The 27,208-nt window shown below is 38.2% G+C and overlaps 1 protein-coding gene across 3 annotated transcripts in view, besides 1 other annotated feature; it reads left to right on the top strand.

Annotated features, from left to right (window-relative positions):
- SLC25A21 (solute carrier family 25 member 21) overlaps positions 1-27,208 on the top strand; it is a 494,686-nt gene that overhangs the window by 83,251 nt on the left and 384,227 nt on the right. The window lies entirely within an intron of this gene.
- Positions 7,839-9,038: an enhancer, noted in NCBI's record as "BRD4-independent group 4 enhancer chr14:37549523-37550722 (GRCh37/hg19 assembly coordinates)". NCBI's record gives its function as "activates an origin of replication core promoter dependent on BRD2, P300/CBP, MED14 and CDK7 cofactors, and independent of BRD4, by STARR-seq in HCT116 cells {active_cell/tissue: HCT116}" and the evidence as "EXISTENCE:reporter gene assay evidence [ECO:0000049][PMID:35650434]".

Here is a 27,208-nt window from a genome sequence, read left to right as displayed (position 1 = left end):
GCTCCAGCACTTCCCCTAGGTAGGAAGGTTAATGTGAAAGGATTATTTCATAAGACTGTAGAAAATATATATATATATGTTTTGTTAACACACATATTTTGAGAGTTAAAATAAGAAAAATGAACCTAAATTTAGAAAGTCTATGATTTTTTTCAACCTTTTAATCCTCATTGGAGGCCATTCTTTTTTAATTTATGCACATAAAATACCACAGGAAGAGATGGTATAAATTTGTGGACTGTGGAGAATGAGTGAACATTTTTGAATCAGGATCTTTAAAAGGGGTGAAATTTGAGTATGATTAAGTTAGGAAAAAGCCTCGCTTACGGCGGAAGTCAGAGACTCTGTATACATTATGGGCATGTCATGGCTTTTAAAAAGTTATGTTAGACTTCTATACAAATTGTGAAGGAATTTGTATAACCCCAAACAAAATTCTGTGTGGTTCTGAACTTTTCCTAAGTTGAAAAGAGAGAGAGAGAGAGTAAGAAAGAAATAATGCTGGTTAGTATTCTGATCAGGGACAAGCCTTACTGTCGGGTGGGCCGGTCGTTTGCACTGCCTGGGTGTTTTCTTGGTTACTAATTTTCTCAGAAGGAAATGATCCTATGGCTTATGCTAGCCACGTTTGTGCATATATGCCCTGTAATTGGCATTTATTAAGGAGACCTTCAGTTTGATGGATGACTGTCAGAGCTGAGCCTGCTGGCTTTAAAGACAGTTGACTTTGCTTGAATTTTGTTACATTAATTCATTAGAACTCTGCACTGCTTCAACCCACTCTTTGTTTACTTTCTTATAATTAAGATTTTTGAACAATCGATTTTTAGATACGTGGCAGGAGGCCATTCCACACTTGGAGACTTAGTCTGACAGAAAAATATGCACCAGAACAAATATTCATAATAAAAACCTGTGAGTATTAAAACTGAGGTTTTTGTAGTCTCTTTAATTGCTGCCCAGTTAATTAGCAGCTTTTAAACATAAAATTGCTTATTACTTATCTTTACTTTGTATAATTAGGTGTCTTGTTCCTCTACTTTCTTTAAAAGTGAATCCTATAAAAGCAACAGCTGTAGAAATATTTTCAGTACAGGATATTTTTAGAGCTTGTATGCATTATGATATATTACCAACAATGTAAGCAAATAATTAGGAAAATGAAAGGCCATCTGACTCTAAAGATACAATTTTAAGAGGAAAAATATACTGTATATACATTTAAACATTTGATTGTAAATACATAATGCATCCCAATTTTATTTTTAATTTTATGATATAAAAATCTCCCAAGCTATAGTGACACATTTCAAGTTACAAGTTGTATTTCATTTTCTCCTTTGAAACCACCTTCCCACAAAAGTGCACATGAAAATGTCAAAGATTAGATGTCCTTTTCCAATAAACATCTGCAGGATGAACCTTATTTCTTGTTAGGCTTGATGTACCCACTCACTCAAGAGGCACACAATGGTGATGTGTTTGGTGTGTGTGTTTCTTGCAATATTTTTAAGCTGACCTCTACCAAAAACTAAATGCTTGAGGGGAAAGGATGCACTTTCACAAAAAACAAACATGGTTGGAGAGTGTTTGCACTAAGATTACAGACTCACTCATGGTTGTCTCTTTTCTGGCTTGTTGTAACTAGCTGATAAGTTGATTATCTGTGAGGTCTATTTACCAAAGATGATAGCTTGGTGAGTAGATGCGTTCGTCACATCATCCCAATATCTAGATGAGCGAGAAAGGAAAATAAAGAATAAATGAAGAAGGAAAAATAAATAGCATCTACTTATGAAAATAAATACTGTGTGGGGTTATAATTTTTAGTTAGTGCTCTAAGAAGTTTTTAAAGTAATCTTGGGTGTAGTGCTACTGCAGAATGGTACCAGCTCCCTTGACTAGCCTTCCCAAAGGGAAAAGGAAAATGAAACCCAGTTGGTTTCAGGTCACAGATAACCCAACTTTCTTACTCTCCAAAAGGAACTTGAGTTGGCAGAACAAAATAGACTTCTTTGCCAAGGAAGACAACCTTTTAAGTTTAGTGATGAAGTTGATTTATTCTTATTTTATTCAGATGATGGAAAATACGACTAATTGGCTCCTTATTTGGTCCATGATGCTTAGTTAATGTATTCAAAATTGTTACTGGATTGAAAAAATGAATTCACAGGTCAGAACTTCTTTTATTGTGGAGGAAACTAGCAGTCATCAAAAGGGCCATTAAAAAACTGTTTAATGAAGAAAGATGTGACTGTTCACGAAAAGCGTCTAGTCTAAACTTAGCAGGAGGGCCATGGACTCTTTTTTCTCCTAGGTTACAACAGTATAAGAAAACAATCTTGCATCTATTAGGCTTCTGCACAAATTTTACCCTCACAAAGTCATTTCTTTGTGTGAATAAAATATAATTATACATGGAAAGCTTGAAGCTGAAATAAAGTCTTCCTACTAATTTTACATTAAAATGTATGAGATTGTATCCTTTTATTTTTAATTGATGTATTATGATAACTAAGACTAATTTTAAGTGGCTTTCCCTTTCAACTCAAAAACAATGGCTGGCACTTTTTGGTAGTGTTCCGTGTAACAAGCTCTGTTCTAAGTACTCCACATGGATTAACTCATTCAATTATCACCATCTCTTGATGTGGGTACTATTATTATCCGCATTGTAAAGGCAATAAAATGGAGGTATCGAGAGGATAAGTAACTTGGCCAGTGTCATGCAGCTAGTGAGTGGTACATTGGAGATGTGAATATGGGCATTCTATCTGCAGATTCAAGGCTCTACAATCCAGCCTTTAGTTTGGTTAAGTAGTTGAGGATCCTTATACAAACACCTAAATTTACTGCATTTATTATTCAGAAGACTCTTTGGAACAATGTTCCAAAGAATATTTCATTATGTTGAGAAGCCTAACATGACTATTACACAAACATATCTATACACATAGTAATATCCTTTTACCTTAACTCTCATATCCTAGCACATGACTAACAAAGGAGTTGAAGGCTAGCAGTATGGTCAAGTTTATACCATGTGTGATTGTCATACTGTGGAGGGAATGGGATTTGACCTGTGGCCTAGCCAAACAGTTGTAATATTGAACCATATTATAACAGAGTTCTACTTTGTTTTAAAAATACAATTATTATTTTAAAAAGGAGATGAAGCAACAATAATAAAAAAAACCCCAGGCCCCCAAAGTAGTTTCTATAAAAATTTGTCAAGTTTTCATTTTTTTTTTGAGACGGAGCCTCGCTCTGTTGCCCAGGCTACAGTGCAGTGGCGTGATCTCAGCTCACTGCAAGCTCCGCCTCCTGGGTTCGCGCCATTCTCCTGCCTCAGCCTCCGGAGTAGCTGGGACTACAGGCGCCCGCCACCACGCCCGGCTAATTTTTTGTATTTTTAGTAGAGATGGGGTTTCACCGTGTTAGCCAGGATGGTCTCGATCTCCTGACCTCGTGATCTGCCTGCCTCGGCCTGCCAAAGTGCTGGGATTACAGGCGTAAGCCACCGCGGCCGGCCAAGTTTTCAGAAGTAAGTGTTTTGAAGTCTACTTAACAAAGTCCAGCAATATTTAGGTTCAATAAATGAGGCTGGTTTTTATCACTAGACTGGAATAATTAATTCTGGGATAATCTACACTTCAGTCGAGTGAATTACAGCTCATAATGCTCATTGAAGATAATGCAAAGGTATAAAATGTCATACATAATTTTTTGAATTTCAAACTCCTAGACAAAGAGATTTTGATTATTCTGACATCTTTGAAGTTTCTAGCAGAATACAATGTCCATACAGGAAATACTCTGCTGAGAGGATTGAGAATCAATGTGTTCATCTCACTGATGAGAAAAACAGAAATTATGCACAAAGATAAAATTATATAAACTTTTATGTGAATAAATTGAACCAATATATATAGTTTTTAGGGTTTGTTCACTAAATATTGATAGAATGTTTACCGTACATTGAGGATACAGGGGTGAGCAAGACAGAGAACTCTTTAATGAATTAACAGCAATAAATAAATAATCTAACATCAGATAATCATAGAGTTGGAGAAAATAAGGCTGGGGAATGGGGCAAAAACTGATGTCATCCAACGAGCGTGGCGTGTTGTCTGTTTTAAATAGAGTGGTTAGGGGAGGCGTCTCTGAGATGCCACTATTTGAGCAAAAATCTAAATAATAAGGAGCAACAGTGGCATTTCTTGTATTTTGACACATAGGATAAATAATTGTTAACACCCCTCTCCACTTCAGACACAATTATTTTTAGTAATAATCATGCAAGAAGAAGAATGATAATAAAGCCCAGTTAAAAAAAACCAGACAATGAAAAAAGAATTTATTGAACCTCATGTGTATTATCATGCCAGTTACAAAACTGATGTAAAAGGTAAAAATAAAATAAACATTATGGTACAATAAAGGAAAAAGGAATAGATTAGCACTTTTAAGTTGGGGTTTGTTTCTGGACTCTCAATTCTATCCTGACCTATATGACTGTCCTTATGCCAGTACTACACAATCTTGAATCTATTGTTTGTGTAGGAATTTTAAATCTGTTTTTTATGTAGTCTATAGCAACTAAGGAGTTGGAGACACAAACTGTACCCAAAGTGACTTGTAACTATTCTGAATCGATTAGGAACTTACTCTTGAAATGCATTCAAGTATTTATGACTGTGTCTGTTGGGGACCGACTATATAACTAGAGTTCTCCAAATTAGCTTTCATGTAGAATATAATGTTTATGGAAGGACAAATAACAACATATTTTGGTAGAAAAACATGTTTTGTTAGAAACAACATATTTTGGTAGAAATAACATTTTATCACTAACATTATTTAAAATTGCTGGTGCAGAGTGAAAAATAAAAAGTAGACTGAACTGACTTCAAGTTGGTTTTGTCACTGTTTTACAGTTCTCTACCAACAGTACATCTCAAAATTGCCTATAAGCAGGGCCGACTGCCCCTACCACCAGTTCATCATCAGGTACCATTAAGGAGGAGTATATCATCTGAGATCTAGAGGAAGAGCCTCCTAACAAGAGGGAACAGAAATGCTAAAACCTTATATCACAAGCGAGTTTGAGATTTTTAAGGAACCGAGAGAAGGCCATTATTGTAGCTAGAGCATAGAGGTGAGGGTGCATGGTAGGACATAAGGTGGGGGGAGGGACTGCCCTTATAATAGTGCCTTTTAGCTGGGACCACCACAGGATTAATGGTTCAAGCTGTGGCACTTCTGAGAGTGAAAGAGACCAGTGTTAATAATTACATCGTGACAGCAGGCTTAATGGGACCGTCCAGGAAGATTAGGATGAATAGTCACCATGCTTAAAGGATATGGCACAGAGTTGAATTTTAACTAACCATAGAATTCGACCAAAAAGTCAACGGTGATGATGGCTAAATGCATTTATTAAATGCAAGTGAGCAATAATCTGACTTAACACCATTAGTAAGTTATGAATTAGGGAGACCGAGTAGTATGTATAGTGTAGTGGTTTAGAGTAGTGCTTATCAATCTTCAGCATGCGTAAGAGTCACATGGAGGGCTTGGTTAAACATAGATGGCTGGGTCCCGCTCCCTAAAACTGTGATTCAGCAGGTTCTGCATTTCTAGCAAGCTCCCAGGTGCTGCTGATGCTTCCAGTCTATGGAGACCAGACTTTGAGTAGCACTGGTTTAGAGACAGTACTTTAGACACTTTAGACAGACTTCATTTAAATTTCAGCTTTCGTGGTTATTGACTGGGTGGCCTTGGGCAAGCTAAATATCCTTTCCGCATCTTTTCTCCTCATCTGGTAAAATGGTGATTATAATCCTTGCCGTATATAAATGTTATGAAGAGTAAATGTGATAAAACAGTTGGCACTGTGTTTGGCATTATTGTAGTCACTGAACGTGTGTTATTGTTATTGTTGTTAAAGAGAAGAATCATGGTGAGTAATAATTATTAGATAAAACTATGAACATGTTCAGATACTGCATTGTAAATCAACCCTAGAAGTATATAGCTGCAACTACATACCCTAGAATAGTGTATCAATACCTGGAAAATAATAGGCTCTTAATGCTTGTTGACTGAAAAAGCATTTGGTGAATTCACTTAATGAAAAAGCAATTGGTGAATTCACTTAACTGGGTGGATAGAAATAATTGATTCTCATCCTATTATACCTCTTTTATTCTCAGAGCTTACATTCAGCATAAACCAGAGCACACAAAACTCCTGCCTCTCAGCTGTGAACAATTTGATTTATTAAGTCAGTTAGGATAGATTTAAACTTGAAATTGATGAGACAGTTACAGTTGAGCGTTTCCTGGTGTGTGAATGTGGAATGAACTTTAGACAATAATACTAATGCTGTGTTCAGATAGAGATGTGGTAGTTGTAGAAATATCTACTGCAAAAATTAGGTTTACTTAGTTTGCTTTACTGAGTTATAGCAGTGTTGAAAGCAAAGTTCAAAATATCCTTCTTTAGTATTACTGAAGAAACACTTTAAAAAAATCCTAATTTCCATTGGAAAAATAATAGGCCAAACTACTGTGAAGAGGAGCCTACAGAAAGGGATCTGCTAATATTAGATCTGAATGATTTGTCTTTTGTCCAGTGGCCATCTGATTTCCACATGGGAAAATAGGTACTTCAGGATGGGTGGGGAAAAGGAAGAAGGAAAGGAACTAACATTTTTTGAATATTTGCTATGGGCTAGGCACTCCACTGTGCGCTAGGACATTTATATATTCTAGTTAATTCATTCTTCATAACCATCAGGTATTATCACTCCCCTTTCATTTCTGAGGACTAAAGGTTTAGGAAGACAAAAGGAGAAATAGATGGTGTCCCTGTAAAGCCCACTCTCTCTTTTTAAAAATGATTTGTATAGTGCCTAATGCTTAATGTTCTTTTTTAGGTTTTTAAAAAATTTCAACTTTGATTTTAGATACAGAGTATATATGTTTAGAGATGCAGATTTGTTACATGGGAATATTGCATGATACTGAGGTTTGGAGTATGGATCCTGTCATCCTGTCACCCAGGTACTGAACACAGTACCTTATGGGTAGTTTTTTCTTAAACCCATTCCCCCTACCCTCTAGTAGTCCAGAGTGTCTGTTGTTCCTATATTTATGTCTATGTGTGCTCAATGTTTAGCTCCCACTTATAAATGAGAACATGCTGCATTTGGTTTTCTGTTCCTGTGTTAATTTGCTTAGGATTGTGACCTCTAACCCCATCCATGTTGCTGCAAAGGACATGATTTCATTCCTTTTTTGTGACTGTATAGTACTCCATGGTGTGTGTGTACCACATTTTCTTTTTTTACCACTATCTTTGGAAAGGGTACTTCTATAGGTGATCACTATTATATATGGTTATACAGTTTTCTATCAATGTGGAAGATTTGCTACATTTATTATAGTTTCCTAGCTTGTTACTAAGACAACTTAGGTACTGAAGAGATTCTGGTGTGGTAATTGAATATAACAATTCTCGCTGAGCCTTTTTATGTTTATTCAGAGTTGATTTAATTCTTTCCATAGTTTTGTCTTTATTGCAGCATCTTACTGTATAATTCCTATGCTAGGATTTGAAGCTTCGGTAGTTGAAGTGCACAATAAAAGAGAATATCCAAATATTTTAATTCCTAATTGTTACTATATCTTATCACTCTAAGCAATATAAAGCAACAAAACTGTTAAGCCAATAATGGTTTTGGGCTTAATAATGTAGTATTTCCCTCTTTGTTTGTGGGCCTTAGTTATAAATTAACCAATCAGAAATTCCTGTTTGATACAACAGTCTTGGGAGACAGGGACCATTTGGAGACAACCACATTCTGATAGACAGAAACAAGAAGCAAATCACTGTAAGTGTATTGAGTGCTGGTCATGAGGTGAGGCCACTGTAGGTGGCATGCCTTTTGTTTGCATCATGTCTTGAGACTCACCTTTGCCACAGTTGAGTCATTTTCCGTGACGTGTCACTAACAACACATCTTCTCAATTACAACTCTCTCAAGAGGTTACATCTGATATTACATCTAACATTAGGGGAGATGTACCCAAGTGTTAGAGATGATTAGGCCATTTAAAAAGTGTTCTAACTTAGGTAACATTGTAATGCCTGTATTAACCTACGGCTTTTCTCACGTTCCCAAATAAAGTTGAGAAGAGTTCACAAAAACACTTTACAGGGATCATGATCAGGGTCTTATAATGTCATTGGTAGTAACTACCCTTAAAATTAGATTCAGGGGATGGGTAGAATATTTCTCCAGATTAATAGCATCTTGACTATCCCCCTGCCTCTCTCCAAACTAGGTGACAGGATTAAGGAGAATAGATAGAGGTAGTCGATAACCATTTAACAATTTATTTATTCATTCTACCTACAACTTTTGGATTAGCCAAAGACAATTGTATATTTGGGCCTGGAAGTTGACCCTGCCACCGTCCTGTTATCTGGGAAGAATTTAGGGCAAATGATGGCATAAATTCTATGAGATATCTTGATTATGGAGCATGCTGAATCTTAATTCTATCTGGAATCTCATATTGCCTCTGTGTTGAATGAGCCAGTCACTTATAAGTATACAGCTGATCATGTGCCCTATCATCCTAGTGAAAGAAGACATATACAAATAAATTCATTCATTTGTTCAATTAGTATTCATTAAATACCTACCAAGTACTAAGTAGTAGTTTTTTTCTTGTTTGTTTGTTTTTGAGGCAGGGTCTTGCTCTGTCACCCAGGCGGAAGTGCAGTGGCACGATCATGGCTCACTGCAGTCTCGACCTCCTGGGCTCAGGCGATCCTCCCACCTCAGCCTCCTGAGTAGCAGGGAACACAGGTGCACACCACCATGCTCAGCTAAAATGGTTTTTTTGTACTTTTTGTAGAGACAGGGTCTTACCATATTGCTTAGGCTGGTCTTGAATTCCTGAGGTCAAGCAATCTGCCAGCTTCAGCCTCCCTAAATTCTGGGATTACTGGCATGAGGCACCGCTCTTGGCCGTGAGTGGTTAATAAGACAAAAGTAGTCTGTGCCCTCAGGGACACTGAGCACAATTACAACAGTATATGATGAATGCTACAGTAGAAGTTAGGGTTTCTTTGAGCATTGCCAGGGCCTTGATCTTACTTAGAGTAAAGAAAGATATCTCGAGTTTAGTCTGTTTGGGCTGCTGTAACAAAATACCATAAACTGGGTAGTTTATAAACAATAGAAAGGTACTTCTCAGTTCTGTACGCTGGGAAGTCCAAGATCACTGACAGTTTTGGTGTCTGGTATGGACCTTCTTTCTGGCTAATAGATGGCAGCTTCTAGCTGGGTCTTCATAGGGTAGAAGGGGCAAAACAACTCCCTGGGGCCTCTTCTATAAGGGCACTCTTTCCATTCATGAGGCTCCACCCTTGTGAGCTAATCCCCTACCACAAGCCCCACATCCTAACACATTACCTTAGTGATTAGGTTTCAGCCTGTGAATTTGGCGGGGACACAAACCTTCAGACCATGGCACTAAGAAAGTGACATTTGGATTGGGGATAGGCAGTGATAATGGCATGTTCCAACTGAATGTTTGTCAGGTTCCAGGAACTGAAAGATGCTCAGTGTGACTGGAAGAGCAAGCGAAATCTTTGGTCTGAGCAGGAGGCACAGGCTAGATAGTAAGAGTCTTTCAGGGCATGTTAAGGTATTTAGACTGGATTATAAAGATAATGAGAAATTACTGAAGAGTTTTAACCTGGAGCATCATGTTCAGATTTGTGTTTTATGATGATCACTCCGGTAACTCCAAGGGTTGTGTGGAGGAAACATGGATTGGATAGGAGCAAGGTTAAAGTGATAATGAGGAGGCAGATTGACAGAACTTGGTTATTTATAAAATGAGACAGAGGAGTCAAAGAAATCCCTGGATTAGTGATTTGAGCTACATGGGTAGACACCAAAGACAAGGAGCATTAGGGAAAACCTTGGGGGTGGGGGTGAGAGGTAGGGAAGAAGGAAATGAGTTCAGTTCTGAACATGATGCATTGGAGGGTGTGTGGGATACCAGGTAGGCTGTTCTTCACTAGGCAGTTAGAAAAGTGGGTCCAAAGGTCCACAGATCTGGGCTGACGACAAAAATGTGAGGGTGACCAGTTGTACGTGGATGTGAATTAAAGTTCTGCAAGTATATAGAATGAAAACAACAGAGGGCCTATGATGGGGCCCTCAGTGGAGCACTGACATTTAAAACATTTACATTTTGAAGTGATGATTTAAAGAAACTATTAGATGAAAACATCTTTAAAAAGTTTTTTAAGGAAAAGAGAAATGCTTGTGAGCCTGGGGTTTTCCTTTCTTTCCTAGAACTGATTTCTAGCTTACTTTTACCTCAAGTGAAGTCATACAAATCCCAAACCATAGTCTGTTCTGTTGTGGTTAAATTGATTCTCGAATGCAAACCATTTTAAAACATGCAAAGAGAAAAAAAAAAAAGGAAAATAATGGAAAGCCAAAGCAACAAATTATCCTTAGCTAAAACTTTATGAACATAACGCATAATCAAAGCAACCATAAAGGCAGTGTTGCCAACATTTGATGATGGAGAGAAGGCCCTTGTTTCTTTTCCCGTTTATACCACTGCCTTCCAGTATCTTTCCATTTTTCAAATCCTTTGGAGATAGGGATCTTTATATTCTGTCTTGCATCTGATTTCACAGGTGTGTGGCAGAAACTAAGAATAATGGCTCCCAACTTGCTCTTTTTTTAACTGCTTATTAAGGGCCTTTGACTGAATGGCAAAACCACTCTTCTTTTTTATGTGGACAAATCCATGTCCACAAAACCTTGATTTTCGGTGTGATTGCAGTGGAACTCTCCTTCCTTCTTAAATAGGTCCACCATGTGGTGGACCTATTCCTTATCCTGACGTATCATCCAAGTTTTTTTCTGTTTTCCCCTGTGGGGAAGATAATGTGGTTTGCATTCTTTTGGAAGTCTTGGACACCAAGAACTTTGAGGTCAGCTCAACTAGGGAAGTGAAGGAAAGAATGTCAGCTAACCCAGCAGTGAAACCTCAGGAGTGTGTGCCTTAAAGGCCATTTTCTCTATATTTTTCTTTTTTTCCTCTTGTGTATTAACCACAAATAACCACAGGCTTTAAACCAGCTTCATAAGAAGCCACCAACAAATGTTTAAAGCATCTCAACAAGATTTTCAAGAAAGTCCTGGATAAAATTGTGTTTGAATGACGAGCAATATGTCATCTTTCTTTTTTTAAATCCACTGTCTCTAGTTTATGTAAAATTAACTTAAATCTCAAATTTTAAGAAATTAGGAAATGTAACTCTCACTGAGCATAGAGAAATGTCTTTCGTTTAAAAATTTTAAAAAAATTTTTAAAATGTCTATAGATTTAAGTCCTTTTGATTTGGAAAGAAGGAAAGCAAAAGCCCCACAGAGTGGATTAACATTAAGGATATTGTTACCAGCAGATTTTAGTGCCTTTTGTTTTATTTTGTTTTTGGTTAAAACCTTAACCAAAAACTGTATATTATAGGGATTTACTGACCATTATATTAATATTCTCATGTGAATTTCGACAAAGCACGCAAACATACTCATGTATACACACATATGTAAAAGTCTTTTTCTTTAGGAAATATTTTTACAACTACCCATCTAAGATTGCTAATGACATGTAAATTACCCAGTGTAGGGTAGTATGAAATAGAATGATACAATGTTTTGAGTATTTTTATAGAGGGGTCTGCTCCTTATCTACCTTACCTTTCTTTTGAGGTGTCTTTCCATGTTCTATGTCACGTGTTCTAAAATTCAATTGTTATACATAACATACGGATTTTCATGTAGTCATAGGTTGTGTCCGCGTGTATAATCTAGTGTGAAGGTAGTCAAGTAAAGGGATAGACAAAGAGAAAGCAAAGTAATTCACTTAAAATCCAGAGAACTTTACAATGTTGAAAAGTAAGTAAAAGCAGATGTTGTAAAGTTTAGAAAATCAAGACATTATTTTCCTGTTTCCATTGAATTTTTTCTAAACACATTATAAATAAGCTTTGAAGTAATACAAAGTCTTCTGTTTATTTTGCTGATAGCATCTTCTGTAAAAAACTTTATCAATGCTTGTTTAAGTTATAGACTAAATGATATCTCAGCGTGGTGCAAGTATTGACTATATCTTCTGGCAAATACAGTGCTACAGTGCTGAAATTACTTACAATGTCTGAGTTACTCAGATATCTATTTGATTAGGTCTTTGGGGTTTAATGTTACAAACAGCTCAAATTTTTTATGCCATCAGAAAATAAACATGGAACCCCAATATTTCATTATTCACATACTTTACGTTAATTTTATATTTTATGGAGACTTTATTTTATTCTGCAATAGAGAGACGTTGCTTTATTAGTCTGTGTAATTGTTCTGACAAGAGTGGCCTAGGAATTTGAAAATAATGCTCTCCATGCTGTACCCTTCCCCATGTTCCATGCTCTAACTCAGGCTCATATTAAACATTAAGAAGTCTTACGGGGGCCAGGTGCAGTGGCTCACGCCTGTAGTCCCAGCAATTTGGGAGGCCGAGGTGGGCAGATCACCTGAGGTCAGGAGTTCGAGGCCTGGCCAACATGGTGAAACCCCGTCTCTACTAAAAATACAAAATTAGCCGGGCATGCTGTCAGGCGCCTGTAATCCCAGCTACTTAGGAGACTGAGGCAGGAGAATCGCTTGAACCTGGGAGGCAGAGGTTGCAGTGAGCCGAGATCGCTGCACTGCACTCCAGCCTGGGTGACAGAGCAAGACTCTGCCTCAAAAACAAAAACAAAAATAAAATAAAGTCTTATAGGCTGGGTGCGGTGGCTCACACCTATAAACACCAGCACTTTGGGAGGTCAGGTGGGCAGATCACCTGAGCTCAGGAGTTCAAGACCAGCCTGGGCAACATGACGAAACCCCCATCTCTACTACATCTCTACTAAAAATACAAAAATTCGCTGGGCCTGGTGATGCACGCCTGTAATCCCAGCTACTTGGGAGGCTGAGGCAGGAGAATCACTTGAGCCCGGAACGTGGAGGTTGCAGTGAGCTGAGATTGCTCCACTGCTCTCCAGCCTGGGTAACAGAGCTGGACTCTGTCTTAAAAAAAAGAAGAAGAAAGAAAAAAAGAAGTCTTACAATGTGGCCTCTACATATGAAGACTGTTTCAACTGAATTGTCATTTTTTAGAGTTGCTTCTAAAATTTAATATGTAAAAGAGCTTAGGGGAGAGCCAGAGCAAGGTGTTTGCTAGCTCGGGGAAGCATAGGCTTGGCTCCAGGGCAGGTGCCCATCCTCACAGCTTCCGCTGGCCCTCATCATTTGGAGGCACCAACTGTCTTCCAGCTGTTAATGAATGTCCTAGGCTCAAAACTGCATCCCTGTGGAGGATATTTTCAGGGCGTAAGCCAATTCTGGAAATGACGGGCTGTTAAAATATGGAACGAGGGAAATCAGTTCATATCAACGACATAAACCATCATCTGTCTGTTATTACATTCATTCAGCTGGGTCACATATGACTCAATAATCAAATTACCACCCTATATATCTTAAATCCACATGTATATTCGACCACCATGTGACATGGGAAAACAAAGATAAACTGGGATGTCTTCTCTTTATTTTACTTCTTTTAAATGTGTCTTTTTTTCTGCATACATAAGTAAAATTGCTTGTAAATTTTGAAGATTATATAATATGGAAAGTGAGTGCCCACAGTGGATGTCCCTCCTTCCCCCGTCACTCTATGTACACTGTTTATAGTTTGGTGTGTGTATCATTGACTTCTTAATCATAAATGGAAGTTTCTATTTTTAATACTGTACCAATACAATTGTGACCTTTTAAAATTAATTTAAGTGAAAAATTGTCTGGGTCTATCAATATGAAGTTTCAAAGGTAGATAAAATTTAAGTGGGGAAAAATAAAGCAATCTGTTTTTCTGTTATTTATGCTTCAGCTTCTTTCAAGAAGCATTTGAAATAGCTTCCAGTAAAATCTAGAGCAAGGGAAAATACCACCAAGAACCACCCATGAAGTGTAAATCAGAGAAAGAAAGGGGAAATGTTGAAAGAAGAAGGAAAACGTTAAGTCGAGAGGTATTAGTGGTGGAAAGCTACATTATTTGGTGTAAAACATTGCACGTGGTTTCAAAGTGGTCTTCATAGTTCAGTTTTTACTGGGTTGCAAAGGGAAGCTAGTTCCTTTGAGAAGTATTTGCACAGGAAACCTTCATCTATGGTCAAAATATTAACTTCACAGGGTCCATGTAATTAACAATGATGCTTTCAGGCAGGGACAATGGCTTCTACAACTTTGTATTTCCAGGACCTAGCACTGTGCTCTCCAATACCAGGCCCTAAACACATTTGGTAGAGTAATGAATGAGTGAAACAGCAAATGAAGCAATGAGTGACGAGTGTAATCATTGGCCATTTATTTTTATTTTTATTTTTTTGAGACAGAGTCTCACTCTGTCACTCAGGCTGGAGTGCAGTGGCGCGATCTCGGCTCTGCCTCTCGGGTTCCAGCAGTTCTCCTGCCTCAGCCTCTCGAGTAGCTGGGATTACAGGTGCACACCACTACGCCTGGCTAACTTTTTGTATTTTTAGTAGAGACGGGGTTTCACTATGTTGGCCAGGCTGGTCTCGAACTACTGACCTCAGGTGATCCATCCACCTTGGCCTCCCAAAGTCCTGGGATTACAGGTGTGAGCCACCATGCCTGGCTGCCTTTTGAATTCTTGTAGGTGCTTCCCATTGGCTAAACCCAATAGGAAGCCAGAAAGCAAAAGGAAGTACAGTTGATTAAGTTCTTAGAATTCAGCCTTCTGGGAACAGAGCCAGGTTGAAAGAATAGAAAAGAGCGGATTTGGAGAGGCAAATGAAGAATGTCTAACATAAGTGAGGATCATGATTTCTAATTCCATCAAGGAAGAGTGGCCCCATTTTCAGTCAATAGTGGTATAAGTTGTATGTTGTGAAATATAGAAAACATCAGTTTCAACCGTAGAATAGTACCACATCATTAGAAGCAAACTATTGTATAAAAACAGAGGTTTTTTTTTTTTTTAACTGCAGTTGATTTGCTTTATTGTTGACTGCTAAAGAAAGGATTGAAGATACTTGTTCATTTATATTAAGTTGTATGTATGGAATAATAGCTCTTTCTTTTTTCCTTTTGTTCTTAAGTAAAATATTACCTTACCCATTTGAACAGAGACGAACATCATTCCTGGGAGGTAGGAAGACTAGTTCTAGATATAATTGACAAGGTGAATTTCTGGACCTCTTTCTAGAGCTTTGTAGGGATGTTTTTTCTCAGATGCACAAAATGATTTTTTTTTTTTGGATCTAGAAGAAAGGCAGAAAGCATTTTGGACACTATAGATATGTTCAAAGAGTACAGAAATATGCGAAAATGGTTAAGTTCCTTGATCAATCAAGGAGCAGTGGGATCGCAGGAGGCTAACCTGGGTTATGCCCAAATAGGTAAGTCAGCATTTGATCTTAAATTGATACCAGAGTGCCTGGCAGAGCATTTAACCTGGACACAAGACAAGAGGGCCTGTTGGCTTCAGGAACGATGCTAGGAGAAAGTCCAGGGTAGCAGGGGCAGGCTGGAGGTGGTCGAGGCAGAAAAACACCTCCATTCCCTTAGGGTCCCAGTTGGGACTGAGAGTTAAATTACATAAAATAGATTAATAGCAGAAAAGCATAATACAGATTTTACTTGGCACAGGAGTCCTCATAAAGAATGAAGACCCAGGCAGGCTGTAGTGGCTCATGCCTGTAATCCCAGCTCTTTGGGAGGCTGAGGTGGAAGGATCGCTTGAAGCCAGGACAGGAGCAGCCTGGACAACAAGGCAAGACACTGTTTCTACAAAAAATTGCATATATAGATATATAATGAATAAAAGAGAAAGAAATGATGACCCAAAGAAGCAGTTAGAGTCAGTTACTTATATAGTGGATTGGAAAAAGAATAGGGAACTGTGAAAAAGTGACTAAGGAAGGATTAAAAGCTAAGAGTTATTCTAACAAGGTCTATACAATATTCTCTTGGTCTCAGCTACTCACCATTGAAGATAAGGATGTTGCTTTTCATTCTTAGGATAGGAGGAGTGTCTGTCACATGGAAATGTCATCTTCTGTTTTTGAGAAACAGCGTGAAGGTCAAAGTGATCTATTTGCACTAGCTGTTTTTTCAAGTGTTCTTAACTTAAATAGTCAATATGCCAGAATAGAATATTTTAGCCCTTTCAACTGGATGAATCTAGGAACCAAGATAAAGAGTGACACGTTGTCCCAGGACCTATGTGTCACATAAATGTGTATAGCTTTTATTATTGTTGATTTTTAGAATTTAAAGATGATATATCTGATGGTGACTATGTTATCTACACATGTATATGTGGCTGAAAGGACTACTTCATAACCAGCGGTTCTTTTAAGCCTGCTAGATTGTTTCCTGATTCCTTGTTTTAAGTGATATTTCTAGAAAATATTTTTCTTTTTTTTCTTTTTTGTTTTTATTTTTGAGACAGAGTCTTGCTCCGCCCAGGCTGGAGTATAGTGGCGCCATCTCAGCTCACTGCAGCCTCTGCCATCTGGGTTTAAGCAATTCTGTCTCAGCCTCTGGAATAGCTGGGCCTAGAGGTGTGCACCACCACGCCCAACTAAGTTTTGTGTTTTTAGTAGAGACAGCATGTTAGCTAGGCTGGTCTCGAACTCCTGACCTTGGCCTTGGCCTCCCAAAGTGCTGGGATTACAGGCGTGAGACATTGCACCCAGCTGAAAATATTCTTCTTAGGACTCTCTTTGGTTTGTGCTCAACCAGAAGCCTTCCCACACATAAGACCCTGCACATCCCCTACTTTAGAGTATGAGGCTACCTGGTAGAGATACAGTTTCCCAACATTCACTGATTTGAAGCTGCCTTTGGCACAGCCTGAGGCTCTGTGGAAATCAGAGTATGGCCCCTGGATGCAGAGTCCTCTCAGAATTTGAGATTGATTCAAGAACAATACAGTGAGAATGGAAATGCTGTTTTACAAATTTCAAGATGTATTTCCTCCACTTTTTTTTTTTTTTTTTTTTTGAGACAGTCTCACTCTGTCACGCAGGCTGGAGTGCAGTGGCGCAATCTTGGCTCACTGCAACGTCTGCCTCCTGGGTTCAAGTGATTCTCTTGCTTCGGCCTCCTGAGTAGCTGGGATTACAGGTGCCTGCCACCATGCCCAGCTAATTTTTGTGTTTTAAATAGAGATGAGGTTTCACCACGTTGGCCAGGCTGGTCTTGAACTCCTGACCTCAGGTGATCCACCCACCTCAGCCTCCCAAAGTGCTGGGATTATAGACGTGAGCCACTGTGCCCAGCCTACATTTTAACATCTCTGAATAAGGGTATATTTAACATTTACTGTGGCCTTCCAACTAATTAGTAGCATTTTTCTTCTTCAGCAGCACATGCAAATGATGATGCATTTGAGGAATGACTGCATCTTAGATTTGACAAAATGCAGAGTAGTTTAAAAAATTGAATCTTGAAAGCATGCTTATACATACAATTCAGGTGTTTTTCTAGTCTGTCTTGAGTAACCAGAATGTATCTCTGGATCTAGACTATAACTGAAGAAAGTTGAAGTCTAGTTAATTGCTTTCTAACTGAATATATAGCAAATAGATTTTGTCTTATTTTTCAACTAGATTTGATTTGTAATGATTATCAAAAACATAGTGTTAAGAAATATTCTGAAGCTACCTTCTAGCTCAGGGCTGCTTCTGTTTATAGGGGTTTTAATGGGTAGAGGAATTGAAAAATGGCAGCATGTGAGCCAGGCATTTGTCTTCTTTTCTATAAACTCATTGAAAAGGAATGTCTTCATTGAGTTTGCATAAAAAAGAGAACTGGAATTTAATAACTAATAAGTGCTTATCCAGTATTGCTCCAGTCTCTAAAAAATAGTATCTGATGAACACAAGTTGTCTGGCAGTAACACTGATGTATTATATTCTGCAGTGGGATTAATTTAACATTTTTAAAAATTTTCATCAATACCATGTATACATCTTTGCTTTGATTCTATACTTGCCAAGAAACCTTCTGAATTAGCTTTCCAGAGGATTAATGCCCTTGACGATCTATTGGATATTTTACAAATGGCTAATCATTTTGGAATGTGGCTTCATGTCAGCATAAATGGACAAATAGCCCAGTGTCTTCTCCTTTCCCTTTTGCTGCTGTACTTTAGTTTGTCTTGCAAAGTTATTTGAAAATTCTGCTTTCAAAGAAAGTCTCGGTATTTCAGGACCTTGTGTGATGAGTCCTTCCCCCGGGGAAACTGATGTGACAGCTTGTCCAGTGAGCAAAGCAGCCCAGGATTAAGATGAGGTGAACCTGACAGGGGCAGAGCGCTTCTCACCTCTGCACCCTATCTTCACTGACAAGCACCATTTCACCCAAAGCCCTTCTTCATTCCGGTGTATATGGTGATTCCACAAGTATCTTAATCACTTCCAGGCTTGCTTAGAAATTGTTTTAGAATAAACAATCTCTCTTTTTACCTTGTAATGCCCTGCACCAGGAACATGATGTGCAATTCTGGTCAGCAGCCCTCAATGAAGACATGATTAAAGTGAGAGGGTACAGAGAAAGTTAACTAACATGAACAAAAGAATAATAATTAGCTTAAGTTGGAGAATTAATCATTAAATATATTTTTTCTGAGTGTAGCATCAAAAGGGGGGGCTATTGACAAAGGAAGAAGACTGAGAAAGGGGATGTGAATAAAATTTATAATATCATACAAACTATGCTTTCTGATTTATTGAATCCTGGCATACTAGGACTTAGGGCATTTGCAGAAGTTTAAAAGAGGTCTACAATGAATAGAAACTTGTGGAGTGCATTATCCTAAGATGTGATGCAGATTGAAAATATAAATAGGTTTACTAAAAGTTTAGATAAGCTCATGGATAACAGATTGAGGAAACAATGACAATTTGGAGTATGTCCACAGCACTTGAAGGAAATCAGACCTCTTCCTCTGTCATATGTCTCTTGGTGTGCCCATCAAAGAAGGTAAATGGGCATAGGTAGGATATATATTAGAGTCCGATTAGGATGGTAATACAGTTGCCAAAATGTAAAGAACAAAACAAAACCCTGGATCCTGGATTCGTTAAATTACCCAGGTTCCAAAAGGAGACACATGAATGAAATAACTGCCTGTGAATTCTAGGGCACAGGTATGGAGAGCTTCTGTGAAAGAGTGTAACTTGTGCACTAGGAACATCTGATCTTTGTTATCAGTGGGGTGAACAGTAATGTGCGTGTGTTGAACACAGGCAGAATTAGGGATCATATAGCCTTCTTTTTCATAGACCACCATGTTGCTTGTGTCAAGCCTTTTCTTGAGCAGAGAACCAGGGTTTTGTCTGCAAATTAATGCATAATAAATGAGACCCAGCCATTTGTATAAAAAGCAGAAATAAAAGTTTCCTTTAAGCTATTTCCTTTTAAAATGTTCCTGGAAAAGGGCCTCTATTCTTTTATTTAGAATAAAACTGGAAATGTGGTAGAAATATTTTTGTAGTAATTTTTTTTACAAATAAATTTTATTGGCATTCTTTGCTGTCTCTCCCAGTATGAATTAGTTCCTTGCATGATTTACTTCTGTTTTCAACGAAGAAGGCTGAAACTGATTAAAATTAAAACAGCCTGCAGTTCTATTAGGATGCATGTGGTACTGTTTCTCACCTTTTATCTTCTCTGATGATAATCATATATTTTTTCTTTCACAATATGCTGGCATGTTTTTAAAGGATGTCTACGCATATGTTCCTAAACACATATTTGTACACACATCAAGGATAGAGACATAAATATCATGAGGGCATAATCTACTGTTGCCACAGATACTCTATAATTTATCACAACCATGTTATACTCTCAGTAATTTATCTTATGAGATGGTGGGTGCAGATGGGTGCTCTTGAAAACCACACCCCTGAATCTGAAAAAGAATCAACTAATATGGTCGTATGTTTCAGTGTCATAAACAGTAATAAGAGAAGTACCTTAAGTTTTTTTTTTTTCTTTGAGATGGAGTCTCACTCTGTTGCTCAGGCTGGAGTGCAGTGGCATGATCTCGGCTCACTGCAAGCTCCACCTCCCAGGTTCACGCTATTCTCCTGCGTCAGCCTCCAGAGTAGCTGGAACTACAGGCTCCTGCCACCATGCCCGGCTAATTTTTTTTTGTATTTTTAGTAGAGACGGGGTTTCACCGTGTTAGCCAGGATGGTCTCGATCTCCTGACCTCGTTATCTGCCCGCCTCGACCTCCCAAAGTGCTGGGATTACAGGCGTGAGCCACCGCGCCTGGCCAAGTTGTCTTTTTAAAGAGAAAAATTGCTTTTTTTAGCTTATAATGTTTGGGGAGTCTCAAGAATTGAAAGAAAATATGATTGTGCTCATAGATCTTTTTCTGCCATATTATTTCTTTATGATCTTTATGCCTGTTACATGGGATGTACATATCAGGTGTTAATAAGTCAATTTGTATAAATACATTCTTCAATTGAGTACTACCCTTTGTAAGCAAGTAAGCAAAGAATTTGCACTGAATTATTAGCATCTAGCAATGTTTTTCCAGACAAGTGACTAAAATAGATTTAAATCAATTTACAAAATTACATTGCATTAAATTTTGATACTAAATGGGTTCAGTATAGCTATGTGATGCAATTATACAAAATGTGTTAATGTCAAAGAATACAACCAAAATTACAGCAAAACACATATAACTCTTTCCAAAACATTCATTTAATGAAAATCTACTGCAAAAAAAATCATCATACCTTGAATTGTTATAGTGCTTTCACAGTTAAGACACTCTTTCCTCTGACCCACAGAGAACTTTGTGTGAATTATCACACCCATTTTATAGACAGAGAACCTGGTGTCAGAGAGGAAAAGCACTTTAATCACTGTCACAAAATATCTCCTAGTTGGCTTCCCTTTCATCAGGCATCTTTCTTCTGTTCCATTTACCATGTGGCTGCCAGAATGACCTTTCTCCTGCTTAAAATCCTTCGGAGCTCCTTATTCCCGGTATGATGGACAAGTCCACAATGTGGTGACTATGAACCCTGACTCTGCTGTCGCGGCCTGTGTTCAAGTCCGGGGGTTGGCAAACGTTTCCTGTAAAGAACCAGATAGTAAATATTTTAGACTTCATGGGCTATACATCTGTGCCACCACTATCCAGCTTTGCTGTTGTAGGACAAAACAGATGGTGGGCTAGATTTGGCCTGCAGGCCATAGTTTGCTGACTCCTAATTTTGTAATAGAATCACTTAGAATACGGGAAGAAGATATCAGAAGTTCTATTTATATTTTGTTCTTAATCCTATCCTTTTAAATTATTTTTGTGCACATTTTATAATATACATAATATTTTCATAAATAAGTAAATCTACATGTATTCTGAGCACATGCTTAATTTTAGTTTTTACTGATAGGATTTGTATTTGATAGAGTTGAAAGACTAACTCTCTGCTTCACCAATCTACAGCCAAGCTGCTGGCAATTCCCTGAACACACTAGACTATTTTCTGCCTCCATACTTTTGTTCATGGAGTCCTCTCATATATTTACTGCTTTTTTTGCTTGTCATTACTTCTTGCATCTCAGATTTTCCATCTGGGATCACTTTCCTTCCGCTTGTAGTATATCCTTTTGGAATCCATTTTGTCAGGGTCCGATGATAGAAAAAAAATCTCTTTATTTGTCTGAAAACATGCTTATAATAAGGATGCATTTTCTGGGTACAGAATTCAAGGTTGGCAGTTATTGTCTCTCAGTACATTTAATACCTATGTATATAATTTCACAGCATCTTTTGGCTTTTGCTGTTGTTTTTGTGAAGTCAGCTGTCAAACTGATGCTCTTTAGGAATAATCTGTCCTTTACTTCTGGCTGCTTTTACTTCATTTTTTGGAGTAATGCAGTTTTACTCTGATGTTACTACAGGTTCATTTCATTTTATTTGCCTATTCAAAATTCACTGGGATTCATAAATTTGCGATTGTTATATTTTAGTAGTTCTAAAAAATGGTTAGTTCTTCAAATTTTGCCCCTCCTGCTTCCCCATTATTTTTCTTCTCTTCTTCTGGAACTCTAGTTAAATATATGTTACTCCTTAGCCCATTAAGCCTAATCTCTCTTTCGTATTTACATTTTTTTCCCCACTGTACTGTATTCTGGATAATTTCTTCTGCCCCATTTTTTAGAGTGCTAGTATTTTCCCTCATCTATGTCTAGATTGTTGTTGAATCCATTCATTCAGGTCTTTTGTTTTCTTTTTATCTGAAAATAATTTTAAACATTTAAAACTTCTAGATAAGTTGAAAAAGTAAAACAGTACAAAGAATACTTCTAAACTTATTATTCAGGTACATCTATTATCAATATTTTATGCCTTTATCTTTATTGTTTGTTCTCTGTCCTTCTCTCTCTCTCCATGTGTATATAATTTTAAATGTAAATATACATACTTATATATACATGTATATACACACATATACTTTTTAAATGAAATATTTATATGTGTACTTTTTTATGAACCATTTGTTGTAAATTACATACATCATGGTCCTTAACCCCTGAGTACTGCAGTGTTTATTTCTGAAGAGTAAGGATATTTTCATATAGCTACAGTACAAGTATGAATGTAAATACTTTTTGCATGGTAAATTTTAATTTACCACTTAAAAAGTATTAGTACAATGCTTTTTATTTCATCTGTTCACATAATCCATTTTTTCAGTTGACTCAGTGATGTCCTCGATATCATTTTATTCCTCTCCAGTGCCATGTGCAGTGTAGAGTCAGGTATTGCATTTAGTTGTCATGTCTTTGAAGCCTTTTTAAATCTGGAGCATTTTCTTAGCCTTATTTAGTCTTTCATGGCATTTACCTTTTGAAAGACCAAAATCCCCACTCTTACCTTTTAGAAATAGAATATTCCTAATAGGGGGTTTGTGTGATGTTCCCTTATGATTAGATTCAAGTTACACATTTTTGGCAAGAAGACAGCCTTTTTGATACTGTATTTTTCTCCGAGTGTCATATCTGGAAGTGTGGATACCAATTCTGATGAATCGGTTAAGTTACCTGATTTCTCCACCATCTAATTTCTTTTCCTCTCCTCTCTTGAAACTAATAAGCAGCTTGTGGGTTCGCACTTTAAGATTATACGAATATCCCGCTCCTTATACAAATTTTCCCTCAGATTTGGCATTCACTGATGATCCTTGCCTGATTAAATTTAATCTTTACTACAATCATTGTAAAAACCATTCGTTTCAAATTAGTTTTATTTCTCAATTCAAAAGAGTGTTCAATTCCTTTCAAATCTGCTAAGGCACATTTTGTTAATTTTTTTCCTCTTAAATTTTATCCCACTTTTTATTTCTATCTTTAAATATAGTATGCATAATTGTTTTACCATATATGTCTAATGATTCAATATCTGAAGTGTTTGAATGTACCCTTCTTTAAGTGATGTAAATTCAGTCTGCACATTGGCTCAAGGACCACCTTTTAGTTACAACTTCTCAGGGACATTCCTCCTTAATCTGCTCAGCAATAGACAAATTTCCTTAAGTCCCCTGGTGTTGGGAATGGAATGGAGTAGGACTTCTAATTTGCCCTTTCCCTGAGGGTGTAACCCTTTGGGGAAACAGTTTAATATAGAGAAGCACTTCAATTTGTCTCCTCACCTGCATGAACTGAGCTTTGATGTTGGTTTCTTCTCAGCCTGAGAGGTCTACAATTGACAGATGTCTTGAGCCAAAATAATCTCCAGAGCTCGGTTCACCTCCCTGAGCTCCTGCTTCACTTAGATTTTAGCCTGGTTAAAATACTTTCTTGTCAGCTTTTTATTATTTTAAGAAGATGCTTTTGTACCTTATCCAATATTGTTGTTTTCAGTGGGAAGTCTGATCTGAATAACCTAGGCTACCATGTTTTGTCACAGTATAATCTCTGCATTCAGGGTTCTTCTGTACCCCTCACACACTCCTCAGCTTTCAAATCTCAAGTGTCACCTCATCCATAAAGGCTTCTCTGAACAAATCCTTTCCCCAAAGTACCATAGATTATTCCTACTCCAGTTGGTCCCAGCATATACATATATACTGTATTTCACTTCATTGTATGGTTTGTTTGTTTTGTTTTCCTGTCAGTCTTTTCCAAATAGACCATAAGTTCCTTAAGAGCAGGTAATGTGTCTTATTTACTTTTGTATCCTGGGGGTTTGGTAGAGTAGCTGGCATATATTAGGCCCTTAACAGATGTGTGTCAAAGGAAGGGATGAAAGCAGATCTGCCTTCCCAATGTTCTATACTCTTTTGAGAATATGCATGCCTTGTCTTTATGTCCCTAGTGCTTACTACAGTGTCTGTCTCATAGGTGTCTAATAATTATTTTTGGACAAGAGTTTTTGTCAACCTGGAAGTGAAATAGGATAAGGGACAGAATGAGCAGTACAGTAAACCAATTGAGAGACACAAATGAGTTAATTCATAGAATGGGGTGTTGGTGATGGTGGTAGCAAAAATGATAGAATAACTGTGAGTCCTGAAGGGGTACAGTCTGGTTTGTGTATCCAAACAGAAGCAGATTTGGACTGTTGTGAATTCACAATTCACAGTTGTTTGGGGATCCAGGCTAGGAAGGAGGATCCAGATAGAATACAGAGTTGAACCAACTCCACAACTGGAGTAGGTAGATGGTGACTGTATTAGGGTTCTCCCAAGACAGACCAACAGAAGGTAGAAAAAGAGAGAGAGAGAGAGAGACAAGAGAATTTATCAACTGGCTCATGCAATTATGAAGGCTGAGAAGTCCCACGATAGGCTAACTGCAAGCTGGAGACCCTGGGATATGGGTAGTTGGCTCAGCCCAAGTCTGAATGCCTCAGGGAAGCCAATGGTCTGACTCTCAGTCCCAGACCAAAGGCCTGAGAACCCAAGGGGCCACTGGTATAAGTCTTGGAGAGCCTGGAGTTCTGATGTCCAAGGGAGGAGAAGAAGGGTGTCCTAATTCCAGTAGGGAGGGAGAGATAATTTGTCTTCTCTGTCTTTTTGTTCTATCTGGGCTCCCAGTTAATTAGATGGCACCTGCTCACATTGAGGGTTAATCTTCCTCACTCAGTTCACTGACTCATCCATCAATCTTTCCTGGAAACACCCTTACAGACACACCTGAAAGTAATGCTTTACCAGTTATCTAGATATTCCTTAAGCCAGTCAAATTTACACCTAAAATTAACCATCATCGTGATAGTCAATGGCACAAGGGGTGGTGGTTTCAGGAAAAGTCTTGTTTGGGTTGCATTTCGGTTTACTGCCTAATTGTTATGTGGGATCATTTTGTGTTTTGAGTCTAGCAACACATGGGCTGCTCCTTAGGGCAAGGCCAACATCTTTTGGGTTAGCTGTTGAATCAAGGGATCAAGGGTCAAATTCTCTGGGGAGAGATTTTTCTTCCAGGAGGCCTGCTTTCCAGACTTCAGAATTTGGCTTCTTGTAACCTGATTCATTTGACTTCCCCTTTCCAGTAAGTGCCAGTCAAGCTGAAGTGCTCACAAATCCACGGTAACTATTACTCCTTACCCTCCCTCCACAACATGCACCTCAGTTGTGCTTTTGCAGTAATGTTTTCCTGTTCTAGTATGCCTTTCTCTGTGCTCAAGGATACCCAGGTGACATGATTTACGTAGTCTCCCTTCTGTCACCCAGACTGGAGTGCAGTGGCAAAATCCTGGCTCACTGCAACCTCCACCTCCTGGGTTCAAGCGATTTTCCTGCCTCAGCCTCCCGAATAGCTGAGATTACAGTCTCAAGCCACCAGGCCTGGCTAATTTTTATATTTTTAGTAGAGACGGGGTTTCACCATGTTCATCAGGCTGGTCTTGAACTCCTGACCTCAAGTGATCCACCCATCTCGGCCTCCCAAAGTGCTGGGATTACAGGTGTGAGCCACCTCACCTGGACCCAAATCTCATCTTGAATTGTAGTTCCCATAATCCCCACGTGTTGTGAGAGGGACCCGGTGGAGGTAATTGAATCATGGGGGCGGTTTCTCCATCCTGTTTTCTTGATAGTGAGTTAGTTCTCATGAGATACGATGGTTTTATAAGGGGCTTCCCCCTTTGCTGGGCACTCATTCTCTCTCCTGCTGCCCTGTGAAGAAGTACTTTCTACCATGATTTTAAGTTTCCTTAGGCCTCCCCAGCCATGTGGAATGGTGAGTCAATTAAAACTCTTTCCTTTATAAATTACCCGGTCTTGGGTATTTCTTCATAGCAGCGTGAGAATGCACTAATACACCAGGGTTCAAGGTACCGTGTGTTCAAGGGTACCCAGAGTCAAGGCCTAAATAATGTTTCACTTCTGCTAAGATAGCCTCTCTATTACACCAGCCCACTTATCAAACCCCTATAACTTATCTAAACCTTCAGTATTTTAAACTGATTGTTATGCTTCTTATTTCCCAAGGGTCACTCCCCTGTCCCGATCTTGATGGTTGGCTCCTTGACTTTAGTGTTCACCCTGACAAGCTGTTGATCTATTTATGTTCCTGGTTATACACTGAAGTGTATAGCCACCTGCAAATACTTGTTGACCTGGAGTGCAAACAGCGAGCATCTGAATACCTCTCAAGTCTTCTACTCATACTGCTCTTCATGTGATAAAATTTCAGAGGTTTCTAGGAGTTGGATTAAATAGAGAGTTCTTTTTTTAAAAAAAAAATTATTTTGCGAATATATGAGTGGAGGTTACGTGGTTTGCATTTAGAGATTTGAGTCTGAGTGGCACAGCTAGAATTACAATCTCAGCATGATGCCTGCAGTTTAGGACTTATTCTTCTCACAACTCTTCTGTGAGAACACAGGCATAGCATCATTTACCCTATAATAGGTAAAGTACCATGGGGATGTGGTATGATTTTCCTTTCCTGACTTCCAATGCCTGTAGAATTTGGTTTAAATCAACACATTGGTGAAAGTTATACCAATTGGATTTGCTTAATCCATATGTAGTTAAAATGAAAGAATCCCCAA

The sequence above is a fragment of the Homo sapiens genome, chromosome 14 (genome assembly GCF_000001405.40).
Source record: "Homo sapiens chromosome 14, GRCh38.p14 Primary Assembly".
Taxonomy (NCBI): domain Eukaryota; kingdom Metazoa; phylum Chordata; class Mammalia; order Primates; family Hominidae; genus Homo; species Homo sapiens.
Note: the sequence above shows the minus strand (reverse complement) of the source record. Positions and strands in the feature narration are given on the sequence as shown.